Below are 22,383 nucleotides of genomic sequence, written 5' to 3' on the forward strand. Positions count from 1 at the left end.
AAACTTGGCATTCAGAGGAGAGGTCCTGGCTGGAGATATTAACCGGGGAGAGGTCAGCTTATGGGTCTTATCTAAAACCATGCAGATGAGATCACTAGAGAGTAAAAGTACAAAGAAGAAAAGTGTTCCAGGGGCTGAACACTGGAGTACTTTGATTTTAGAGGAAGAAATTGAAGAAAATCAGTAAAGGAAACTGAGACGGAGGGTCTTTGAAGAGGAAGAGAACAAAAAAAGTGATGTACTTGAGGCTGGGGGTTGGGGGCAGTGGAGGTGTCTTAAGAACAAAGGAGAGGTCAAAAGTATCCAATATGCTGACAGGCCAAGAAAGATGAGGATTGACAATTGACCTTTCGATATGGCCTCACAGAGGTCCTTTCTGAGAAGTGGAAGTAGGGAGGGAATATTAGAGGGAGAACCAATAGAGAGTAGGAGGAAATGGTACCCAGGCAGGCTGAGGAAGAGAAAAATTATCTGGGAGCTAGTGGGGAGGCCACAGGGAAGGAAACCCAAGAGGTGGTGAAGCACTAAACAGTTTCAGCCAGGTAAGTGACTTGTTGACAGACCAGGTCCTCATTCTTCCACATGCTTCAAAAGTTCAGTTTAGAACCAATCTGGGCCATAGTAAGACACTCAGGGTACAAATGTTTAGGAGAGTTTTTCTTTTCTATTTCATTTCAGCTCAAATCCCTCCTGGCGAAGTGGTTTGACATTTACCTTTCTGGGATCAGAACTTCGTAGCCTCTTGTCTTGACCAGGATGACATGTGATCTGCATGGGGCACCAGGGCACATGAGCTAGTTCAGTGAAGGGGTCCCATCAGAGCAGGCTTGGGCTGCGTATGTGCAGGCCACATGCCCAGACATGAGGCCCTCCAGGGCCTCCTCCCTTGCCTGGCTTGGTCTTGGGAACACCCTAGAAACCTCTTCTCACCTTATTTTTCAAGTCAAGAAAGATAATACCCCCAAACTCAGTCTGGCTCTGCTTGACTGGTCAGTTATGCAGATGGTAGCCCGCTTTCCTCTCAGAAACCCTGGCTCAGTGAGAGTCCCATGCTCCCCGACAGCCAGTGAGGACCTCTGTGGTCCTCGCACCACCCTGAGAGGCAGAGGCAGCCTTTCTCGCTTCGTGCCCACCTTCGGAACAATGGTCGCCAGTTCGCCATCTAGTGGGGGAGCACGATGCCCCCAATCTCATGCACCAAGGGCAGAGACAAGGACGAATCTTGCACTCTCAGGAGTCCTGGGGCCACAGAAGGGAGGCAGGTCAAGCACAGGAGATGGATTATCATGGGTTCCTTCTCTGTCTTGGTGGCCCCTCAGAGGCTGCACCGCACCCACTACCGATGTCATGGGGGAACTTCAGGGCTGGGCCATGTGCAACTCCCAGGCCCGGTGGCCTTGTGGGGAGTGGGCTGAGGGGGTTGGGAGAGTTGTTGGGGAGGTTGGGGTGTCCTGGGACTGCCAAGGGAGCTGCTGAGAGAGTGAGGCCTCTGAGCGACCCCTGCTGATCCATCCCCTGCACAAGCCACACCTCTCTGTGCAATACACTTAGGACTGCCCATGGTCCCATAAAACATTTATACGTGGGCTACAGACTAGCAACAAAAGTGTGATGTGAGCACTGATGGGGAACTCTGCTGCAGTGTGCCTTGGGCAAGTTACTGCCTATGTCTGGGTCCCAGTTTCCTCATTTGTCAAATGGAGGTACAAGAACAAATTGGAATCCAAGATCCTTTCCTGTCTCAAAAGCCCTGATTAGCCCCAGTTTGCCTCCTCTGGTACAAGTAAGTCTGGCACATCTACCGCTCAGGTATTTCTTTAGCTCTGAACAGAAGAATGCCTCCTCCTTCCCCAGCCCTGGTCTGAATGCTCACCCTTTTCTGTCCATCCTGGCCACCTCTTTCTCCCTGTCCCTGGAAAGGCTCTACAGAGGAAGTGGTGTTCTAACTAAATGGAGAAGAGATAAAATGGCATTCCCAGCATAGGCAAGGGTATATAGTCATGGAAGCCTGTGTGATTCAAAACATGCCCAGTGGCTTGGTATGGCTGGAATGAAGGGTGAGTGGGAAAGGAGTGGGGGCTTGACCCTGCAGAGCCTTATAATTCATGCTTATAAACTTGGAGCTCATGCTGAAAGTGATGGGGGAGCCATGAAGCAGTTCAATGTGGTCAGAAGTTGCAATTTAGACATATCACTCTGGGATGGTATAGAGAAGGACCTGAAGGTTTGTGGCAAAGCCTGAGGATCATCTCCCTTTCCCTTGGCTGCCCAAGATGAGGACTGCATTTCCAAACTCTCTTGGATCTGGGTGTGGACATGTGATTAAGTCCTGGTCAATTGAATATAAGCAGAAATATCTTGTGTACCTTCCAGGGGGTGTTCCTGGAGGGAGGGGAATCACCCATTATCTTTCTTCTTTCTGGATGGAATGTGACTCAGTGGTGAGCACCTGGACCTCCTGATCTAGCCTGATCAGGTTGATGTAGGTGTGTTCAGTGGGCAAGGCCAGCACAAGTGCCTACCGTGTTTGGTCCACAGCTGTAACATGCTACCCAGTGTATTCTCCCACAGGTGTGCAAGCCTATTGCCTGTGTATTCTAAAACTGGCAGCAATTGGGCCAGCTGTACTACTTTCTTTTCCTCTCATTCCTGTTAGCTGTCTTCTGGAGGAGTTCTTTCTGGGGGGGCATCTCCACGTTTGGACAGCAGGGATTGCTTATATCCACTTAGTAAAAATAATAACAGCTAATATTCACTAAACATTACTGTGGGCAGATACTATGCTCAGAACTTCACATGGATGATGACATTTATTATCTCTCTATCTTTTTTTGAGACAGGGTCCTTGCTCTGTCACCCAGGCTGGAGTATTGTGGTGTGGTCATGGTTCATTGCAGGCTCAGGTGATTCTCCCACCTCAGCCTCCTGAGTAGCTCAGACTACGAGCACGTACCACCATGCCCAGCTAATATATTTATATTTATATATATTATATTACATATATACAAAATATATATTATGTATATTACATATATAAAAATATATATTATGTATATTACATATATATGTAATATATATTAGAGACGGGGTCTTACCATGTTGCCCAGGCTGGTCTGGAACTCCTGGGCTCAAGCGATCCACCTGTCTTGGCCTCCCAAAGTACTGGGATTACAGGCATGAACCACCACATTTGGCCTCATTTATTATCTCTTAACTGCCATGCCATCTTGCTTCTAAAGCCACACCAGGGTGAATACAACAGGAAGGTTCTGGTGGAGATGGGATGTCATTATTGAACAGAACTGATGAGGCTGTTCCTGCCCCTGACCCACCCTCAGCCCACTTTAATGACCCTCCCTGTTCCAGATGAGGAACCAGGCTCAGACTTGTGAAGTAAGTAGCCCAAGGTCATACAGCTGGAAAGTAGTGGGTATGCAAGCAATTCCAGGTCTTTATCATGCTGCAGAAGAAGGAGGAGACCCTGTGAGCTTCATCTCCAGCAGAGGGACTACCATAGTGACTCTGGAGCCAGATGCTCTGGGTTTAAATCCCAGCTCTGCCAATGACTGACTGAGTCTCTCTGTGCCTCAGTTTTCTCATCAGAAAACAAAACAAAAAAAGGACAATCATAGTGCATCCCTCCTAGAATTACTGTGATGATTAAATGAGATAATACAGAAAAAGTGCTTAGCATAACACTAGTATTGTTATTACTTTATTATTATTACCAGTGTCTGAGTCCCTCCCTGGCCATGCCAGAGAGAACAAGCAGGTAGAGAGGAAAAACAGAGCTGAGAATTTTCTGTCCCATCACCTGTGCCAGAAGAGAGAGGACAGAGGACAGAGGAGGGGCCGCGTGACTGTCTGGGCTAGCGAGCAATTTGCTGGAGGAGCTCATTTGGTGACTCTGACGGAGTTAATTAAAGATGGCCACCAGGGGTCATTGCCATGGTGACAATTAGGCTGGGAAGGCGCCTCATTAAGGTGCGGTTTTAACAAGGCCAGTCGTTTTTAACCTGACATCCACGTGAAAGAGGGATTTTTCAAGTTGCTTCCCTTTCTTCCTTTGTTGTATTTCAGATCCATTTCTAGACACTTCCTGTTGAACAAGACAGAGGAGAATTCCTGGGTTGAGTCCCCCTGAAAAATCAACAGGGCAACAGGTTTCTTCTCTGTGGTACTACTCTGGCATCTGAAAGGAGGCCTGGTTGGCAGAGGCTTGGAGAGGGAGGGGAGGGTTGAGGTCATGAGGTCAGAGGAGGAGGTGAGGAAAGGACTCATGTTGAATTTTATTCAACATGGAACTGGAGACCTTTTCTGGTCGGTGGCAGGGACAGTGTGGATGGCAGTGGGGTCGGGGGTAGTGTCAGGCCTGTTTCTCCCAAGTTGAAGGGAGGAGGAAGTCAGGAGGCTCAAGCCCTGTCTTAATTCAGAGCACTTTGAAAAGTATCTATTTTTTTCTTATTTCCATAATAATACACTTATTGAAAAAAATTAAAAATTTCACAAAAGCATAAAAAGAGAATATCCCCTGCAGTGCACCCCTAAGATGGAATGACTACACATTTCCTGTGTGACAAGAAGCTGAGCACGGGCAACCAGGAGCTGGGTTTGGGGCAGGGGGAAGGGGGTAGGGGATGGGACACATGTACTTTTTCATTTATATTCTTGTCTACTGTTTGAATCTTTATCAGGAGAGTGTAAAATAAAACCAAGTTAAAACAGCATATACTACAACATTTTTCTCTTTTTTTTCTTTTCTGTTTTTTTTTTTTTTTTTTTTTTTTTTTTGAGACAGAGTCTCGCTCTGTTGCCCAGACTGGAGTGCAGTGATGTGATCTCGGCTCACTGCAACCTCTGCCTCCCAGGTTCAAGTGATCCTCCTATCTCAGCCTCCCAAGTAGCTGGGACTACAGGCACACACCACCGCCCTCAGATAATTTTTGTATTTTTAGTGGAGATGACGTTTTGCTATATTGTCCAGGCTTGTCTCCAACTCCTGGCCTCAAGCAATCCACCTGCTTTGGCCTCCTAAAGTGCTGGCAGTACAGGTGTGAGCCACTGCAGCAGGTCCTGACTTTTTTTTGTTGTTGTTTTTGTTTTTAAAGCACATTGTAAAATATTCAAACTAAACAAAGGGTAGACAAGAAAGGTAAGTTTCTTAGGTGGGTCCCCCAGTCCCTTGGGGTGGGTTCCCCACCTCAGATGCAGTCATTAATATTAGTTTATTTTGTGTCTGTCCAGAGATTTTCCACGTGTCCAAGCACACTGTGCAACAAAGTTAGCACACTGTTCACCCTGTTGTGCATCTTGTCCCCGGCTTTTGTTTTTAAGTTGGTCTCAAACTCCTGGGCTCAAGGGATCTTTTTGCCTCAGCCTCCCGAGTAGCTGGGACTATGTGTGCATGCCACTACATCTGGCTAATTAAAAAAAAAATCTTTTAAGGAGGTAGTGGGGTGAGGTCTTGCTATGTTGCCCAGGCTGGTCTTGAACTCCTGGCCTCAAGCAGTCCTCCTACCTCAGCCTCTGGAGTAGCTGGGATTACAGATGCAAGCCACTGTGGCTGGCTTGCATCTTCCTTTTTTAAACTTCACATTCTATTTTAGGGTTGGTCCCATATCAGGATGTACACAGCTGTCTCATTCTTTTTTAACACATGGCAGGCTGCTGCCGCTGGGAGTCTTTGGATATGAACAAGAGGTGGTCTGGGCTTTTAAGGGGCTCACAGGGATGTACATCCTTTCATGCTCAGCATTTGGCACAGTGGTCAGCACACAGAAGCACTTGGTAAATGTTTATGGCTGAATGAGTAAGTAGCAAATAAAGAGGGAGGAGTTGGAGAGGTAAATAGAGGCTAGACCGTGGTTGTTCTTTGTTTGTTTGTTTATTTATTTGTTTTTTGAGACAGAGTCTTGCTCTATCACCCAGGCTGGAGTGTAGTGGGATGATCTCGGCTCACTGCAACCTCTGCCTCCCAGGTTCAAGCAATTCTCTTGCCTCAGGCTCCCAAGTAGTTGGGATTACAGGCATGCACCACCATGCCCGGCTAATTTTTTGTATTTTTAGTAGAGATGGGGTTTCACCATGTTGGCCAGGCTGGTATCGAACCCGTGACCTCAAGTGATCCGGCTGCTTTGGCCTCCCAAAATGTTAGGATTACAGGCATGAGCCACCGTGCCTGGCCTCATGAATGGTTTTGATGGCCATGCTGAAGGTTTGCATTTCCTCTGGTCAGGGATGAGGTCCCCTGAAGGCCCTCACATGGAGGCCAGCACAGTCAGACCTGCTGTCATGGAAAGGTCCTCTGGGAGCTCAGGTAGAATCAGGGTGACCACATAGATGACAACAAATCAAGTGTAGGAGGCTGTACACTGTCCTCATATGCAGTGTCTTCTCCTTTACTGGCCCTCCTGGCAGGAGGAGTATGCGCCCTATCTCTGGTGAAGGCAGGTATGGCCGTGTGACTTGTTTTGGCCAATCAAATGTGGGGAAGAGATATGTGACATTTTTCAGCAGAAGCCTTAATGGACAGTAAGTTTGGGGTTTGCTGTGCTCTCCTTCTGCTTCCAGGAATGGTGAGAGTACGGGTCAACATGGAACTCCCTGCAGCCTGCGTCCCGGAGTGACTTGGATGAGCAGAGGCTTCTTGCCCATCTTCAATGGGCATGTAAATAGGAGTGGGAATGAAACATAGTTGCTTCAAGTCATTGAGATTTGGGGGGTTGCTGTCACCATAATACAGCCTACCCTGACTGATACACAGGGAGCTGGACTGGGTAGTTCCCGCATGTCTTCCAGATGTGCGCAACAGGCCGGGATTCTGCCAGGCTGGATTTTCTGTGGCTCGGGTCCACTCTTGGTTTACACAGTGGATACTGAGCCTGAAGCTCTTATGGAGACCTAGATTCATAGCCTTTCTGCCCCACCCACTTTGAGCCCCATGAACATTTCTCAGAGGTGGAGAGAAGCCTATAGCAGGAAGAAAACTGCAGCTGCTACTGTCTCCTCTGAGGTCTGGCCTTTAAAGGTGGCCGTTAAAGGGTCAGAAACATGAATGGCCATGTTGGCATCACTGTAAGAGGAAGCTGTATCCATGCTCACCAAGATCCCTTTTTCTGAGGGAAACCGAGGTAGTAGTGCCATTTAACCCAAACCATTCATGCCATTGTACCTAACAGTTGGTTGCCACTGTTTTCCTCATAAGAACATTTACCTCACAGGGCTGGAGATGCAGAGGCAGGGTATCCTCGGATGCCATAGCATCAGGGCTCGGTGACATCACCAAAGATCCAGGTCCCCCACCTCTGTTCTCCACATTGGCTTTATTCTCAGGAACATTTCCCTCATGAACACAAGATGGCTGCCAGTAGCCATCAGGCCCGTGTGGTTGCCTCCTTGTTCATGCCAAAGAGTGAAGATGCCAAAAATTGCTCCACCCAATCCACGAACCCATAGTCATCCCCGGGGGATTTCCATCTGCCGTCTGGCTCAGGCCAGCCATTCTCGATCCCATTAGGCTCAGGGTTCCCTTCTCATAACAAATATTACTATCCTGATGAAATCTGTAGAAGTAGGACCTACTTACACATGTAATTGCAAAAATAGCAATGCAATGCCCTAACTCTAAAAGAAAAACAAAAGGAAATGTATAATTAATAAAATATATTTCAAGATACATGCTGAGGCAAAAGTATTCTAGAAAACATAATGAAACAATCAGATGCTTTCACCTGCGCCTAAAAGCTCCATGAATGCGGTAGCAACAGATATGGGCAAATATAGGTGGGTTGTTTTGGTGACCAAAGCGCCACTGGTAACATTGCTACCAGTGACATGATTGTGTTGAGGTGGTAACTCTTGGGAAGATACCAGTGAAACAAAGCATAGGCCTCCTCAATGTGCACAGTGGCGGTTTGCTGCAGTATGCTTTCAATATATATGAAAGTCTTGCAAAAAAACCTTTCTATTAATATGTCACATGAGATTAGATTCTAGGCTCAGATTTTTCACCTACATTTCTGTCCAGTGGAACATTTGAAAGTCACGTGGGGCTCAGGCCAAAGTTTTGCTATGTGCAACTGTCAGGAATTCTAACCTCGATTCCTGCTCACCAAATGCCCACAGTGCCCCCATCATTACCAATTATGTTCCACAAAAATTTAAACACCCTGTGGGATGCAGCTGCTCCTCTCAAAAACCTGTGGTCTTGTCCAATCATGAATCCTTTGCTGGGCCTGCAATAGGGTGGCTGCCTGGGATTCTATTAGGAAGGAGAAAGAGGGAGTGGAGGTAGGGAGGTTGCCAAGTGTCCTCCCCAGGCCTCAAGCTCACCTGTTACTCATAGGATTCATGGTTCAGTCTAGAGTCCCTCTGTGGGACTGAAACATCTTAGAAGACTCACAGAAGGGCTCTCAGGAGGACGTTTGCTTAGGGGGTGTATGTGTGTGTGTATATATGTGCGTGTGTATGTGTGTGTGTTTTCCATTGAGCTGACTGGCATAGGGAATATTCATGCCTCTCAGTCAGAAAGAAAGAATAGACAGAGATGGTTCAGTTCTGGTTCTGTGCCTACCAGGAGAGAATAAGCTTCCTCCTCTCAACTTTTCCCAGGACACTCACCCTCAAACATATCCAGCTCTTCCTGCAAAGCTCCTTTCCTGCTATTACCTCATTGGACCCTTGCCTCCTGTTGGGTTACTCATATTTTTTTAAATTATTAACTTATAAGAACTCTTTACATATTATAGATATCATTCCTCTTTTACTTATGTTGTAGACATCTTCTTCCATTGGTCACTTTTCATTTACCTTCATATGAGGTATTTTTTGCTTCATGGAAGTTTTAAATTTTTATGTAATCAAGCCTGGGAATCCAGATGCCTTTGCATGCACCAGGATTGTGGGGCAGGGTGAGCTGGTGACGGAGGCCTGCTGTGGTGAGAGAATTGTGACACAGGAAGGCCAGCTCACAGGCTTGTGCCTTGAGACTTGGCAAATGTCCAGCAGCCTGGACAAGCCCTCCCCTCCACTCCTCTCCCCAGGAGGCACAGCCATTTGCAAGGCCTGGGATGTGGACTTTCTCCTAAATCCCACCAAATAACCCTCTGGAGTCATGAATAGCTGGCAGTGCTGTCTGAGGAAGGCCAAGAGGTCCCTGAAGGTCCTCTCTTGGCTTCAGGACTGGGGTGTGCAGGGCATCAATGTGATCCAGTGGAGGCCACCAAGATCTGGAAGCCAGAGTTGACAGGATGAGTCTCAGTGCACCAACTAACTGGCTGTGTGGCCTTGGGGCAGTCCCTGCCCTGCTCTGGGCTCAGCTTCCTTTTCTGTCCAGGGAGTGGGCTTGACTATTGTGGTGTAGTTTCCACTCACTGATGCTATCCCACCACTGTTGCTCCACACACACACCCTTGAAAGAGCCCTGCTGTTGGGGGCTGCCCTCAACCTGGCCTGCTCAGACTCCTCACTTGGGGCAGGAGGGGGCTTTGGCATGAGGATATCTAAGAGTATCCAAGCCTCAGAAACTTGCTCCTGGTATGGGATGTGACTTCTGAGCCTCCCTGGTGCCTGGCTTCAGCCCTGGAAGTATAGAATGGAGGCAGGTCCTGGGGATCCCCCACTGGGCTTCCCTGCCGCAACATGTCAAACCTATCAAAATGCACTCACATTCTGCTCTGTGAATTATGTGACAATTGGCTGGTTGGCATGAGTTCCATTCTGTAGACATCTAATTAAACATTTGTTCATTTGGATTTTGTAGTTTCCTTTTTAAAATCTGGGAGCAATACTTCTGTTTTTCATGCCCTTATATTTTTGTTGCCCCAGAAAAATCCATAAGCCAAGCCCTGTGCCTGTCATCACTGCTGGAGAGCCCAGCGGTGTGCTCACACCCCACCTCCCCACCAGGCCAGGTCTCCTCCAACTCCTCCCCAGGACCAATGCCCAGCTCTGAAGGTCTCCCTGCCTCCGCCTCTGTCTCTCCAGCTCATCTTACACAACACAGTTGAAATGATCTTAACTGACTTGTTTTTATTATAAAGACTTTACAAATTTTAATTTAATAGTTTTTGTTTCATGTATTTTTCAGAAAGTTGATCCATTTCCATAGCTCAAAATGAACAAAATACACGGAGTGAAAGTTACCCCATCCCTGTGCCCAGCCACGAATCTCATTTTCTGAGGACACAAATGTCCCCCATTTTAAAATATCTTCCAGATATATCCTATGAACACTCACAATGTATGGTCTTTATTTTGCACCCTTCCTTCGTTTTTAAAACACAAATAATAGCACACAGAGCGCCTTTCTAAGCACACGTCCGCTCAGACCTTTGCTCGCCTCGTGGGAAAGCCTGAGCTTTTCCGGCTGGGACTAAAGGCCCTCCGTGACGCAGCCGCTTCTGAGCGCCCTTCCACGTCCTCGCTCGCCGCCAGGCTGTGCACACCTAGATCCCATTGTGAGCCCCCCGCCAGGCTGTGCGGTGCTCAGGGACAGAGGCTGTACCTCATTTGTCTGGACTCCCCAGGGCCAGTCACGGTACCTGGCACCGAGGGCGCTCAGCAAACGTCGCCGAGAGAGTTCGGAAGCGTCCGGAGGCGGGGATCGCTTTGCCACAGCGACACCTCGTGGTAGATTTCGGAAGTGCAGCAGAGACGGGGCAAGGGGCAGGAGTAGGCGGCAGAGGCGGTCTTTGTGGCTCAGGACCTTCACTGGGGCCTGAATCCTCTTCTATTCCTTCCTGCCGTCCATTCCCGACCCCACCTTGTCCGCCGGCGCCCAATCTGGGACCCACCCTCCCACCACCGGGACTACTATTGGCTGGAGAGACCCACCCACTCGTGATTAGCGGACTTGGGCACTTAGCAGAGGGTGCACGTGCCCGTGTGTGTGTGTGTGTGTGTGTGTGCACGCACACCTGTCTCAGGGGGTACCTAGCATATACCCTGAGCAGATTTTTAACACCTGCCCTCTTCTATAAGACAAAATTATTGGCAGTAGTAATCATGAAATGAGTAACAATAAATGGCAGGCAGCCAAAATTTTCTTTTATTGAATTTCCTATATAAACTCATGCCAATTCAAAAATAAATAAAATAAGAAATAGTCATTATAGTTAAAAAAGGGAAAAAATGGGCAAATAGTTTTAAATTACATTATTTAAACAAAGGGGGGGAATATACTTACATACTGATTTGTCCCAGTAATGAATAACATTACATTAGAATTAAATAAGACTAAAATACGAATAATCTGCAAAGAAGAGACTTCAACTTTAAACGTATTGTTCAAATTCAATAAAATATTCCCTATATAATGTAAAATTTGCATTTTCCAAACAAAAACTATTGCAGCTTCACAGCTTGCTCTCTGATTCACAGTTTTAAATTTTAGTCACAAATAAAATTAAGCAATTCAAGTTCTGTTCTACAACTTCATTATCATGGAGCTAGGGCCTGGAGACACAGCCTGCACCGGAAGTGACTTGGTAGATGCCAACCATCAAAACCTGTCTAGAGGCCAACTGCGGAGCCAGGAGTTCTTGGAATTAACTTTCACGTAGAACACAAGGTTAACTAAAGGATAAGTAATATAAATGTGCATATTTGAAGCCTACATATGTAATCCCAGCTATTCGGGAGGCTGAGGCAGGAGAATTGCTTGAACTTGGGAGGCAGAAGTTGCAGTGAGCCGAGATCACTGCACTCCAGCCTGGGCGACAAGAGCAAAATTCCATCTCAAAAATAAATAAATAACTAATAAAAATAAAATAAACAGTTTAAGACACAAAAAGATAAATGTGTGATTCTACTCATGTGAGGTACCTAGAAAAGGCAAATTCGCAGAAACAGAAAGTAGAATAGAGGTTACCAGGAACTGGGAGATGGGGAATGGAGAGTTATTGTTTAATAGGTACAGAATTTCTGTTTAGGATGATGAAGAAGTCCTGGATCGTGGTGATGGTCACACAACATCGTGCATGTACTTAATGCCAACGAATTGCACACTTAAAAATCATTAAAACATCACAATGAAAAAGCAGTTAAATGATAAATTTTGTGTTATGCATACTTTACCCCAATAAAAAAATTGGAATAAAACAGGTAAGAATTAACAGAATAATTTGGGGAGGGGAATGGAGCATTGTTTTACGGACACGGTTAAGGAATTGCAGTGCAAGTTGATAATCAAAAGCATGGTGACTTTTAAATTCTCTGCAGACAAAGTACTTGCCTGCTCCTGGCTGGCTCTGTCCTACCTCCTGGCCCTTGGGACACCACTGGTGTGTTTATCTTTGTGGGTCCATGGTTTGGTTGTCCTTTTTGTGTGTCTGAGTCTGTGAGGTATTTGTCTTTGGGTTTCCAATATGTGTGTCTTGGTCTCTCTGCTTAGGTCCCATTCTACGTATATTTGTGTGTTGTGTGAGGAGTAAATGAGATGATCAGGGCCAGGCACACATCACAGTGCCCATGATAAAGATCCAACAGCCATTGTCTGCTGTGTGCTTGTGTGTGTGTGTGTTCATCTTTGTGTCTCCCTGCATCTATTGGTGAGGGGGTCTAGTGTCTCTGTGCGTATGTTTCTGTACATGTCAGCGGTGTGTGTGACAGGCACAAGATCCACCCCTGCTCCCTCTCTCTGGCCTAGGGGTGAGTGGATGGGGCTGTCAGGGAGGGGTGTTGGGGTGTTGCTGCCCTCAGTTCTCAGGCTTAGGGATCTCCCAGAGCTGGCCTGATGGAAGAGGGTGCCCCACAGCCTGGCTTTCTGGACAGCCACACCAAAATGTCTCCGAGGCTATTTTCTGGGTGAGTCCCAGGCCTTCCAGAAATCCCAGCTGGCCCTGCACTTGCTCATCCATGGGGCCCAAATGGAACTGTCAGGATTGGATAGCAAATAACCCCAGCAGTATCCAAGGCCCCTTGAGGATACCTTGATCCACGTCCTTATACAGAACTAGTGGTGTGAGTCATTAGAGCAAATGGCCTGGAAGCCACATGCAACTCAAATCCTGAACTGGTGTCTGGAGACACAATCCATGTCCCTCCCCTAGCTGGGGAGCCTGGGCTCATCATCAGGTACCTCTGTGGGTCTCAATTCTGCAACCTTCCAAGTGGGCACAGTCACTCCAGTTGGAATCCCTTCTTCCCTCCCTCCCTCCAAATGCACCCTGCAGCAGTCTTTAATGTGAGTCCCTTTCAAGGCCAACAGGATGAGCCTTGTGAAGGTCTTTAGCATTCAGAGCCCTTGATGAATAGGTGGGGTGGGGTGGGGGCAGGGAGGGGGTCTGCCAAGGCCGGCTGGCAGTCCTGCAGCTTCAGAGTCTGGAGGGAGCAGGGCAGACTCACAGAGGGGAACTGAGGCCCTTACACATACTTCCCTTTCCAGCTCCAAGGTTCCCAAGTGGAGGTGGGGTACGGGTGGCCAGGAAACTCCAGTTTCCTGAACAAAGGTCAGCCCCTCTTGCCGCTGATGCTCTTTTGGGAGCCTTGGCCTTGGCCAGCAGGAAAGAAAGGCTCCTTCTCTCTGGGTGGGGGCAGGTGCTGGCACAGGGCTGCCTGGGAAACAGAGTCCAGTGTCTGGCTCCAATGGGCATTCAGACACCCAGGGCCTGGCAGGCTCTGCCAGCTGCCTGAAAAAGTGGGCATTGTCCTGTCTTCACCCACGCCAAGGGGGCCTTCCCTCCACTGCTCCTGGGAGCCTGGCTGACTCTTGCTTCCAGGGTGGGCTGGGACCCAGAAGTGCCCACATCCAGGCACCACAACCAGCTCTGTGGGAGGAGTGGCAGGTGTGGGCTTGGGGGATGGGCTGGGACTCATTCTTATTCTCATTCAAGTGATTGGAGTTGGGGAAAAGAGTTCTGGATTCTGAACCACTCTCTGAGCTACAGGAAGGTCTGATTTGGGGCTGTGTGTGTGTGTGTGTGTGTGTGTGTGTGTGTGTGTGTGTGTGTGTACCAAGCAGCAGGGACACAGGGCCTCTCAGATGCTTTGGGTGTCCCGTTTCCCATCTGTGTGGTCTGCTTCTGTTCTGACATTCTTTCCTCAGCTTTCCATGCTAGCAAGAAGCCACAGAACTCCTTCATTAGTCTAGAGCTCTGGGAAGGGAGCTCCTGAATGCACTGATGAGCTTAGGAAACCCACTTCCTGATGGGGAGACTCAGCAGGACAGGGGGCTTGTGTGGGTCGTTTCCCCACTCCAGGAAACGGGCCTTGCCTTCCGGGAGTGAGCAAAGCTGATGAAGAGGGGGCCTTCTGCTCTTTCATCCATGACACACAGGTGACTGAACGCAATGCGGTGCCCTGGACTGGATCCTAGAACAAAGCACATTCCCGGAAAAACTGGTGAAATCCTAATAAGTATGGAGTTTAGTCCATGGTGTTATAACAATGTTAATTTCTTAGTTATGGCAAATGTACCATGGCGATATAAGAGGTTAATGTTAGGGGAATCTCACTGTACCATCTGCAATGTTTCTGCAAATCTAAAGTCATTTCAAAATTAAAAGGCAGGTGGATGCTGTAGCACGAGTGTTTACCACCCCCATCTCTTTACCCTCAACATACTCTGCTTACTAAGATTGCTGGAAACCGTAGCCCAACACTGCTTCTGAATACAGCTAACGTGCAGTTAATGACCATTCCATATTCACACGGGGCCTAAGGAACATAACTACTATTTAGAGACCAGATCGTCATGAATGTCAGGGGCTTGATCCCAGGCACCTCGTTTAATGCACTCCCCATCCTACAAGCAGTAGCTCTAACTTGTATGAGAGATGGAGAAACCTTGGATCAGTGGGGTTGTGAAGCTTGCTGAGGTCCCACAGCCAGAACTGCAGAGCCCAGTCTTGTTGAATTCCGAGTTGGGGTGCTTTGGGGGTGCTTGCTGGAGTACTGTGCCTGTATCTGACAAACCAGCTGGCTAAGGAAATGGGTCCTGTGATGTGAGGATAGTTCGGAAGAGGAGCTGTTTCAAAGCCTGCAGGAGCTGCATTCTGTCTGCAAACCAGTGGCTCCTCATGGGGGAAGACTTAAAAGTAGCCCATGGTTCATCAGAGGCCTGAAGGCCATTCTTAAGCCCACCCTCCTCCGTCGCCCGTTCCTGCTGCTGTCCTGGGAAGTAAGAAAGCAGCATTCCCCCACCCCCAAACTCAACCCTCCTTGGGGCTCTTCTGGTCCTTTCCAGGTCCCTTGGGCAAAGGAACTTTCCTTCACTCCCAATGCAGCTGCCCAGGCTGTGGGTGGCTGGGGCCCAGCTGGCCCCCCTGGTGGGTGGTGGGGGGTGTGGAGAGGATGCCTGAGTGGGCGGCCAGTGAGAGCCGGTTTCCTGGGGCCTCCCTGGGGCTGAGCAGCGTGGCCACTTCCGAAGGCCCCTTTGTCCGTCCCTTTATCCAGAAGAGCGGCTGCAATTGTGCAGGGCACAAAGCCCCCGCGGGCCCTGACTTTCCACCCCTGCCTGTGGCCTGCCTGGGAGAGGGTTTCCCAGGCTCCTCAAGAAGGCAGGCTTCTGCCCCCTCCTAGGCAGCCAGGGACCCAGACCTTCTACTTCCGGGCCCAAGATCTATTCATCTAGCCTATCCCAGCTCCCCCGTCCCCCAGGGGGCCCAGCCATTCACAGAGGCCATGGACTTACTGCTCCTCCATTGCCCATCCTGGACACACACGGGCAAAGGGTTCCCAGGCTTACCACTGGGGTGGCGAGGGAGGACCCAGGAAGACGCCGTGTGCTCCATTCACCCGCTGCAAAGTATTTTTGGAGGATTTGCTGATATGCAGGCAGCCTGGGGTGGTGGATTGAGTGTGGGCCACCCCAAGAGGCAGCTGGAAAGTGGGGTACGGCCTGGGAATGGACCGGAAGGCATGCCTGCAGGGTCCTCGTGCCTGCTGTGAGCACTCAGCACCTGCACCAGAGGAAGGACAGAGTGAAGGAGGGAAGAGGGAGAAGGAAAGGCATCTTGACCTCCTCCTCTCCTCTCCTTATGCCTTTAAGCATTGGCATGCTAAGCCCTGGGCCGCCATCACTGCACTTAGTCCTTCTAGCACTAGTACTACCCCTTCTTATAGACAACCAAGGCTGAAAGGAGTCAAGTGACTTTCTCGAGGTCTCACAGTGGAATTCAAGGTAGTGGATCTTTGACACTTAAGTCTGTGCTTCCCCTTCAGGAAAGGGAGCAGGGAATGCCAGAGGGGTGAACTACATGGCCGAGGCTGCAGAGGCTACTCCAGGGCTGGCTGCCTTGCCTGGCCTGCCCAGGTACCGGGGCTCTCTGGGAACCCAGCCTCGGCCGATCCCCTGGGGGTGGCCCCTTCTGCTCAGTCTAAAGGCTCTGGCCTGTCTAGGAAAGGGCCAGAAAAGCCCTTCACCCTGGTTTCATCCCTTACCTCTCTGTCCACCTCTCACCCCCACAGAGGGACTGAGGATGGCGCTCCTGGGCTTATCCATATGCCCCGGGAGCACTCCTGAAGGAAATCCTGGCCCACCTAGTGGCCAATGGCTTTCACCCAATCTGTTTTCTTCTGGGTTTGACGAGGCAGTGACTCAAGGTCCAGAGGTCCTTTCCTGGAATCCAGAAGGGCATTCCTAGCCCCAGGGGCCAGGCTCAGGATATCAGCCCTCCAGAGAGAACCAGCCCTGCTCTAGCCTCCAAAAAGCCCAGGTCCTTCTGGTGTCCTCGGGAGCAAGCTCGTTTCTGGACTTCTCTGCAGTGACCGAACACTTGCTGCTGACACTTCCTTCTCATGCCTCTTCCTTGCCTCTCTCTTCTCCTTCTCTTCCACCCCCTTCTCCTGTGCTTCCTCCTTTTCTCTTTTCTATTTTCCTTCCTCTCCCTTCCTCTCTATTCCTCCTCCCTTTTCTCCTCTTCCTCTTTCTTCTTCTCTTCCTCTCTACCCCTTTTTCCTCTCCCTGTCCTCTGCTTTCCCCTCCAGTCCTCCTCCCCTTCTTTCTTTCCTTCCTCCTGCTTCACATCCTCTTCTTCCTCGGGCCCTCTGTCCCCTCCTTCTTCCATCCCTCTTCCTCCTTCTTCTACCTCCAGTCCTCTCCAAGGGCCCAGGACTTGAAGCTCATATAAACAATGTAGTGAGCAGTCTCCTCTTATCAACCCAGAGTGCCCACAAATCAGAAAGCTTAAATCAAAGGGAGGTCTTGGGCTTCCTCTACTGAAGTCCCTCATTTTACAGATGGGCCCAGAGAGGGTATGCAACTTGCCCAAGGTCACATAGCTCAGGGCACTGAAGTACCATGTAGCCACTTGTCCATGGGAATACAAATAATCATAGTTACCATTAATTGAGTAACTACTCAGTGTTAGGTCCTGTGCCAGGTACTTTATATCTATTCCGTGATATCAACCCTTTAGAATAGGTGTTACTGTTGCTTTTTACTTTGCACAGGGAACTGAAACACAGAGAAGTCCAATGACTTGTCCAAGGTCACACGGCTAGAAGGCAGAAGAGCAAGGATTCAGCCTGGGTTGGCTCAACTCTCACCTGTGTTTTTGTTGTTGTTGTTGTTATTTTGTTTGTTTGTTTTGAGACATAGTCACATAGTCTCACTCACCTCCTCCTCTCCTCTCCTTAAGCCTTTAAGCATTGGCATGCTAAGTCATATGACATCTAGTCTCATTCTGTCGTCCAGGTTGGAGTGCAGTGGCACAATCTCGGCTCACTGCAACCTCTGCCTCCCAGGTTCAAGCCATTCTCCTGCCTTAGCCTCCCAAGTAGCTGGGACTATAGACACACACCACCACGCCTGGCTAATTTTTTTGTATTTTTGTATTTTTTGCTATGTATTTTGCTATGTACTTTTCACTGTGTTGGTCAGGCTGGTCTTGAACTCCTGACCTCAAGTGATCTGCCTGCCTCAGCTTCCCAAAATGCTGTGATTACAGGCGTGAGTCACTGTGCCGGGCCCAACTCTGAGCATTCATGAGATCTGCTGGAGTCATTAGCTCTAGCTCCGTCCTGCTCAGGACTCACTGGTCACTGACTTCCCCAGAGCCTGCTTGAGGTCCCACAGGGGCCTCTGTGTTATACCAGACTGTCCTCTGTCAGCCCAGACCTGAGGCCACATCATACACCTAGATCCTGCCTGAGATGAGACCACCAGTTCAACCAGGCAGCCTGTCCTGCTTGCTCAGGCCCCGCACATGAGGGCAGAGGACAATCTTGGGAGAGCAGGGTCAGGGAGGAAAGCCTTGGAGCATCTCCTCTTCCCATCTGTCTGCCCACCCAGGAGCCCTCCCTCTGAGATTTCATATGAATTCAGCATCCACAGAAGCTCAGGGTAGCGGTGAGAGTGCAGCCACAGCTGTGGGGATGAGGCCAGAAAAGAGGCAGCAAGAGACACTCCAACCCCTCACTGCCCCTTGGAGCACAAGGAGACCTGTCAGATATGGGAGGGCAATGGGCTACCCCCTCTGGAAGAGGCGCTAAGCTTGGGCCTCTTGCCAGCTCTAGAGAGGGGCTGACTCCGGCTGAGCCAGGTCGGTGTAGACCAGAATGTCTGCAGGAGGCTGCTCAGTCCAGCAACTAGGTTCTTGCCGTTCACATGGCTTCCCTGCACTCGTGGGTCACAGGTCCTCTTGGTGTGGGAGCAGTAAGGGATCCAGGTGGCAGGGAGACCCTGGTGCTGGTCGGCTGAGCACCCCAGACTAAATGTGTGCCAACACTAGGACCTGAGGGGAGAAAAGAAATGGGTCCACTTGACAGATGAGGAAACTGAAACCCAGACTGGGGAAGACAGTTTTGTGAGTTCACACAGTAGATGACACACAGTCCTGGCTCTTGGAGGGTAGGATTCTGGGAGGACCACCAGGGGATCCCCTCCTCATCCCATACTGGCTCACCAGCCCAAGAGTGCTCAGAGCTTGGAGGACTGCTATCGGGAAGCCGGGCAACTCCTTCCCAGAACAGGGCTTGGGTCCAGAGGGAGTGCTCACGGGGGTCCTGCCTGCAGCACCAGAGCTAGCCCATATGGCATCTCCATTTGAGTTGGAAAAGAGGACCCCTCTCCCTATCACTTTACCTCCCTTTGCTGGATGGTAAACACCCCAGCCTTTCTTTTTTCTTTTTTTTTGACAGAGTCTCCCTCTGTCACCCAGGCTGGAGTGCAGTGGCACGATCTCGGCTCACTGAAACCTCCACCTCTCAGGTTCAAGCGATTCTCTTGCCTCAGCCTCCCAAGTAGCTGGGATTACAGGCACCCACCACCATGCCCGGCTAATTTTTTTGTATTTTTAGTGGAGTCGGGGTTTCACTATGTTGGTCAGGCTGGTCTTGAACTCCTGACCTCAAGCAATCCACCCACCTCGGCCTCACAAAGTGCTGGGATTATAGGCATGAGCCACCGCCCCAGCCCACACCCAGACTTTCTGATCCAGTGCCTGAGGGCACCCCACTCACCTGGCCCCTCTCCATGCCCCTCTCTTCCCTCTGCCATCACCTCTCTCTACAGCCCCTCTTCCTTCTCTATCTACCCTCTTGTTCTCTGAGCTCAGCTGTGCCATGTCCCCAGTGCCCCCAGAAGTCCCAGCTTTCCAGAGGGGCTTGCACAGGCCTCTTGAAGCTGGCCTCCGTCTGCCTCCGCTTGCCCCAGCAGACCCACGTTAGCACCTGCCGTGCCTTTGGGCAAGACACCATCCCTCCTTCCTTGCCTGGACTGCTCCTGAGCATGCATCCGGTCTTAGTGGTCCCTTCTTTTAGGACGCCTTTGCGCCTTTGTGGCCCCATTGGCTGACTTAGCTGCCCCTCTGCGAGGCTTCTCCTTGGGTGGGCCTGCATGTTGCATGCTGACACTCTGGTTGTGGCTTCCCCAGGGGACACAAGGCTTCCAGAGCAAGGGAGTCTATGTCTCTCACCCAGCTGCATCTCTATGCCTAGACCCAGAATAAAAATCGCTACTATTTAATGAATATAATGAATGTTTCCTATGTACCAGACAATGTGCAGAACATGTTATATACCATGCCTCAGTGACTCTTCACAATGACCTCTTATATTCTATTACTAATAATAAGTACTAACAATAATACATGCTATCATTAAGCCCCTTCTACAGGTAAAGAAACTTGAGTCCCAGAAAAGTTTCCTGTTCAGGAGTATGCTTGAATCTTCTGTGACATGTACTGTCTCTGGGAAAATGAGAATTGAATGAACTGGTGAATAAACTGCAAGGATCTTCAGAGATGGGCAGGGAGAAACTGGGCTGCTTCTCTCACCAGAGGGTGGCATCGGGTCCCTGATCCCAGCAGGGACTGTGTCCCAGCCCAAAGGGCTCCAGAACCTTCCGAGACTAGCTCTGGGTCCAAGCCTCAGGTATGAGATGTATGAGCCTCATTCTGTGAGTTCTGGGCCCGCCTCTGTAAAATGGGCATTGCAATCCTGCCCTGGCTACCTGCATGCTGGTTTCAGGGGCTCAGGCCCAATCCTGAATGTCAACATGCTTGAAAATGGTAAGCCGGGTGCAGTGACTCAATCCTGTAATCTCAGCACTTTGGGAGGCTGAAGTGGAAGGATCCCTTGTGCCCAGGAGTTTGTGACCTGCCTGGGCAACATAGCGAGACTCCGTCTCTAAAATAATTTTTTACACCACTTTGGGAGGCTGAGGCAGGCAGATCACTTGAGGTCAGGAGTTCGAGACTAGCCTGACCAATGTGGTAAAACCCTGTCTCTACTGAAAATACAAAAATTAGCAGGTGTGGCGGCAGGTGCCTGTAATCTCAGCTACTCGGGAGGTTGAGGCAGGATAATCACTTGAACCCAGGAGGCGGAAGTTGCAGTGAGCCGAGATCGCACCATTGCACTCCAGCCTGGGCAACGAGAGCGAAACTCTGTCTCAAAAAAATAAATAAATGAATAAATAAATTTTAAATATTAGCCAGGTGTGGTGGTGCACACCTATAGCCCCAACTACCTGGGAGGCTGAGGCAGGGGGAATCGCTTGAGCCCAGGAGCTGGAGGTTGCCGTGAGCCAGGCTGGTAGCTGTCCACTGTGCCATGAGCTCAGAGGGGAGTGAGAGGGTGGCAGGTCACCAGAAGCTAGAAAGCTGCCCCCTGAGGCAATGCAGCTAGAGCTGCACAGGCTCTGTCCACCTGCTGTGTCAGGGAGGAGGGAGGGGAGGAAGAGGGAGGGCACAGCTGGGGCAGTGGGCACAAAGCCAGCACCAGGTCAGGCAGGCCCAGTGGGCAGATCAGGGTCAGTGGCCTGGGTGAGGTCTAGGGCACCCAGATGCCCATGCTCTTCCCAAGGCCACTGTGGCTTCCCACTAATCCTGGGCATAGGGAGGGGTGGAGCCAGGAGGGCGGAGCAAACCTTACAGCCTGAGGGGAGCACCTGTGGGTGGGGCTTGGGAGAGGAACTGAGAGAGGAACTGAGGCCGCACAGGAAGGAGCCGGTCAGTGAAGCAAGGCTGAGTGTTCACTTATTCAACAACCTTTATTGAGCCCCTTTATTGAGCATGATGATCCAGGCATCATGATATACAGCTCTAAACAAAACACATGACCATCCCTGCCTCACAGAGCTGACATTCTGGTGGAGGAGGTGGGCAATAAACAAGATAAATAAGTACATCATAGAGATGAGCTGAAGGTGAGGAATAAAGCAGGAAGGTGAACAGGGTGTGCTGGGGCCGCCATTGCAAATGGGCCAGGGAAGGCCTCATTAAGAGGGTGACATTTGAGCAAAGGCATGAAGCCAACCATGATCCCGACCCACCTATTCATGCTTTTGAGTCAAGTTCGGATGTCAGCTCTGAGACTGCAGGGGTATTGGTTGTTTTCACTGGTGGATCCCAAGCACTCGGGTAGGGCCTGGTGCCTGGTTCAATACATATTTGTGGATATGATAGAAATGAAAAAAGGAGTCAAGCATTTGGCATCCAGTCATTGCCGGGGCTGGTGCTGGGGTTCTCCTGGTGAGGATTCCAGCCCCCACCCTCCTGGGACAATGCCTGAAAGCCACTGACCCTACTGGAAAAGCAGAAAGGGGCGGGGGGCAGTAGGCCAGCTCCAGGGCGGGGAAGTTTGCTGTGTACAGGCAAGACGATGTCGTCTTGCTTGGGTTCCTGGGTCTCACAGGGTCTGTGGTATGTGGTGCCGTGCGGTCAGAGACCATGGTGGTGGCTGGGACCCTCTAATGTGCTTCTGGAGCCAGGTTTCAGTGGCTTACACGGGGCAGCTGAGGGTGCTCTGTGTCAGCGGGGGTAGCGGCAGGGGCTCTAGGTTCTGGTTGCCGCCTGCCACCCCCTGGGAAGGTAGTAGGTGGTGGCTGGGTTGCCTGGGAGTCACCTGCCCCCCTTCATGACTGGGTCCTGATGCCATCCTAAGTCTCTGTGGGGTGGGGGTGCTGTGGCAGCTTGCCGGGGTGTCTACCTGGGAGATATG

At 50.1% G+C, this 22,383-nt stretch overlaps 5 annotated features.

The window, feature by feature from the left end:
- Positions 10,725-10,784: a silencer, noted in NCBI's record as "silent region_6797". NCBI's record gives its function as "represses an Ori minimal core promoter by ATAC-STARR-seq in GM12878 lymphoblastoid cells {active_cell/tissue: GM12878}" and the evidence as "EXISTENCE:reporter gene assay evidence [ECO:0000049][PMID:35858748]".
- Positions 13,630-14,159: an enhancer, noted in NCBI's record as "H3K4me1 hESC enhancer chr15:89977117-89977646 (GRCh37/hg19 assembly coordinates)". NCBI's record gives its function as "activates a minimal SCP1, AML or CMV promoter by ChIP-STARR-seq in naive H9 embryonic stem cells {active_cell/tissue: H9 hESC(naive)}" and the evidence as "EXISTENCE:reporter gene assay evidence [ECO:0000049][PMID:30033119]".
- Positions 20,680-21,359: an enhancer, noted in NCBI's record as "H3K4me1 hESC enhancer chr15:89984167-89984846 (GRCh37/hg19 assembly coordinates)". NCBI's record gives its function as "activates a minimal SCP1, AML or CMV promoter by ChIP-STARR-seq in primed H9 embryonic stem cells {active_cell/tissue: H9 hESC(primed)}" and the evidence as "EXISTENCE:reporter gene assay evidence [ECO:0000049][PMID:30033119]".
- Positions 21,360-22,039: an enhancer, noted in NCBI's record as "H3K4me1 hESC enhancer chr15:89984847-89985526 (GRCh37/hg19 assembly coordinates)". NCBI's record gives its function as "activates a minimal SCP1, AML or CMV promoter by ChIP-STARR-seq in primed H9 embryonic stem cells {active_cell/tissue: H9 hESC(primed)}" and the evidence as "EXISTENCE:reporter gene assay evidence [ECO:0000049][PMID:30033119]".
- Positions 21,505-21,654: an enhancer, noted in NCBI's record as "active region_10053". NCBI's record gives its function as "activates an Ori minimal core promoter by ATAC-STARR-seq in GM12878 lymphoblastoid cells {active_cell/tissue: GM12878}" and the evidence as "EXISTENCE:reporter gene assay evidence [ECO:0000049][PMID:35858748]".

Source organism: Homo sapiens, chromosome 15 (genome assembly GCF_000001405.40).
Source record: "Homo sapiens chromosome 15, GRCh38.p14 Primary Assembly".
NCBI lineage: Eukaryota > Metazoa > Chordata > Mammalia > Primates > Hominidae > Homo > Homo sapiens.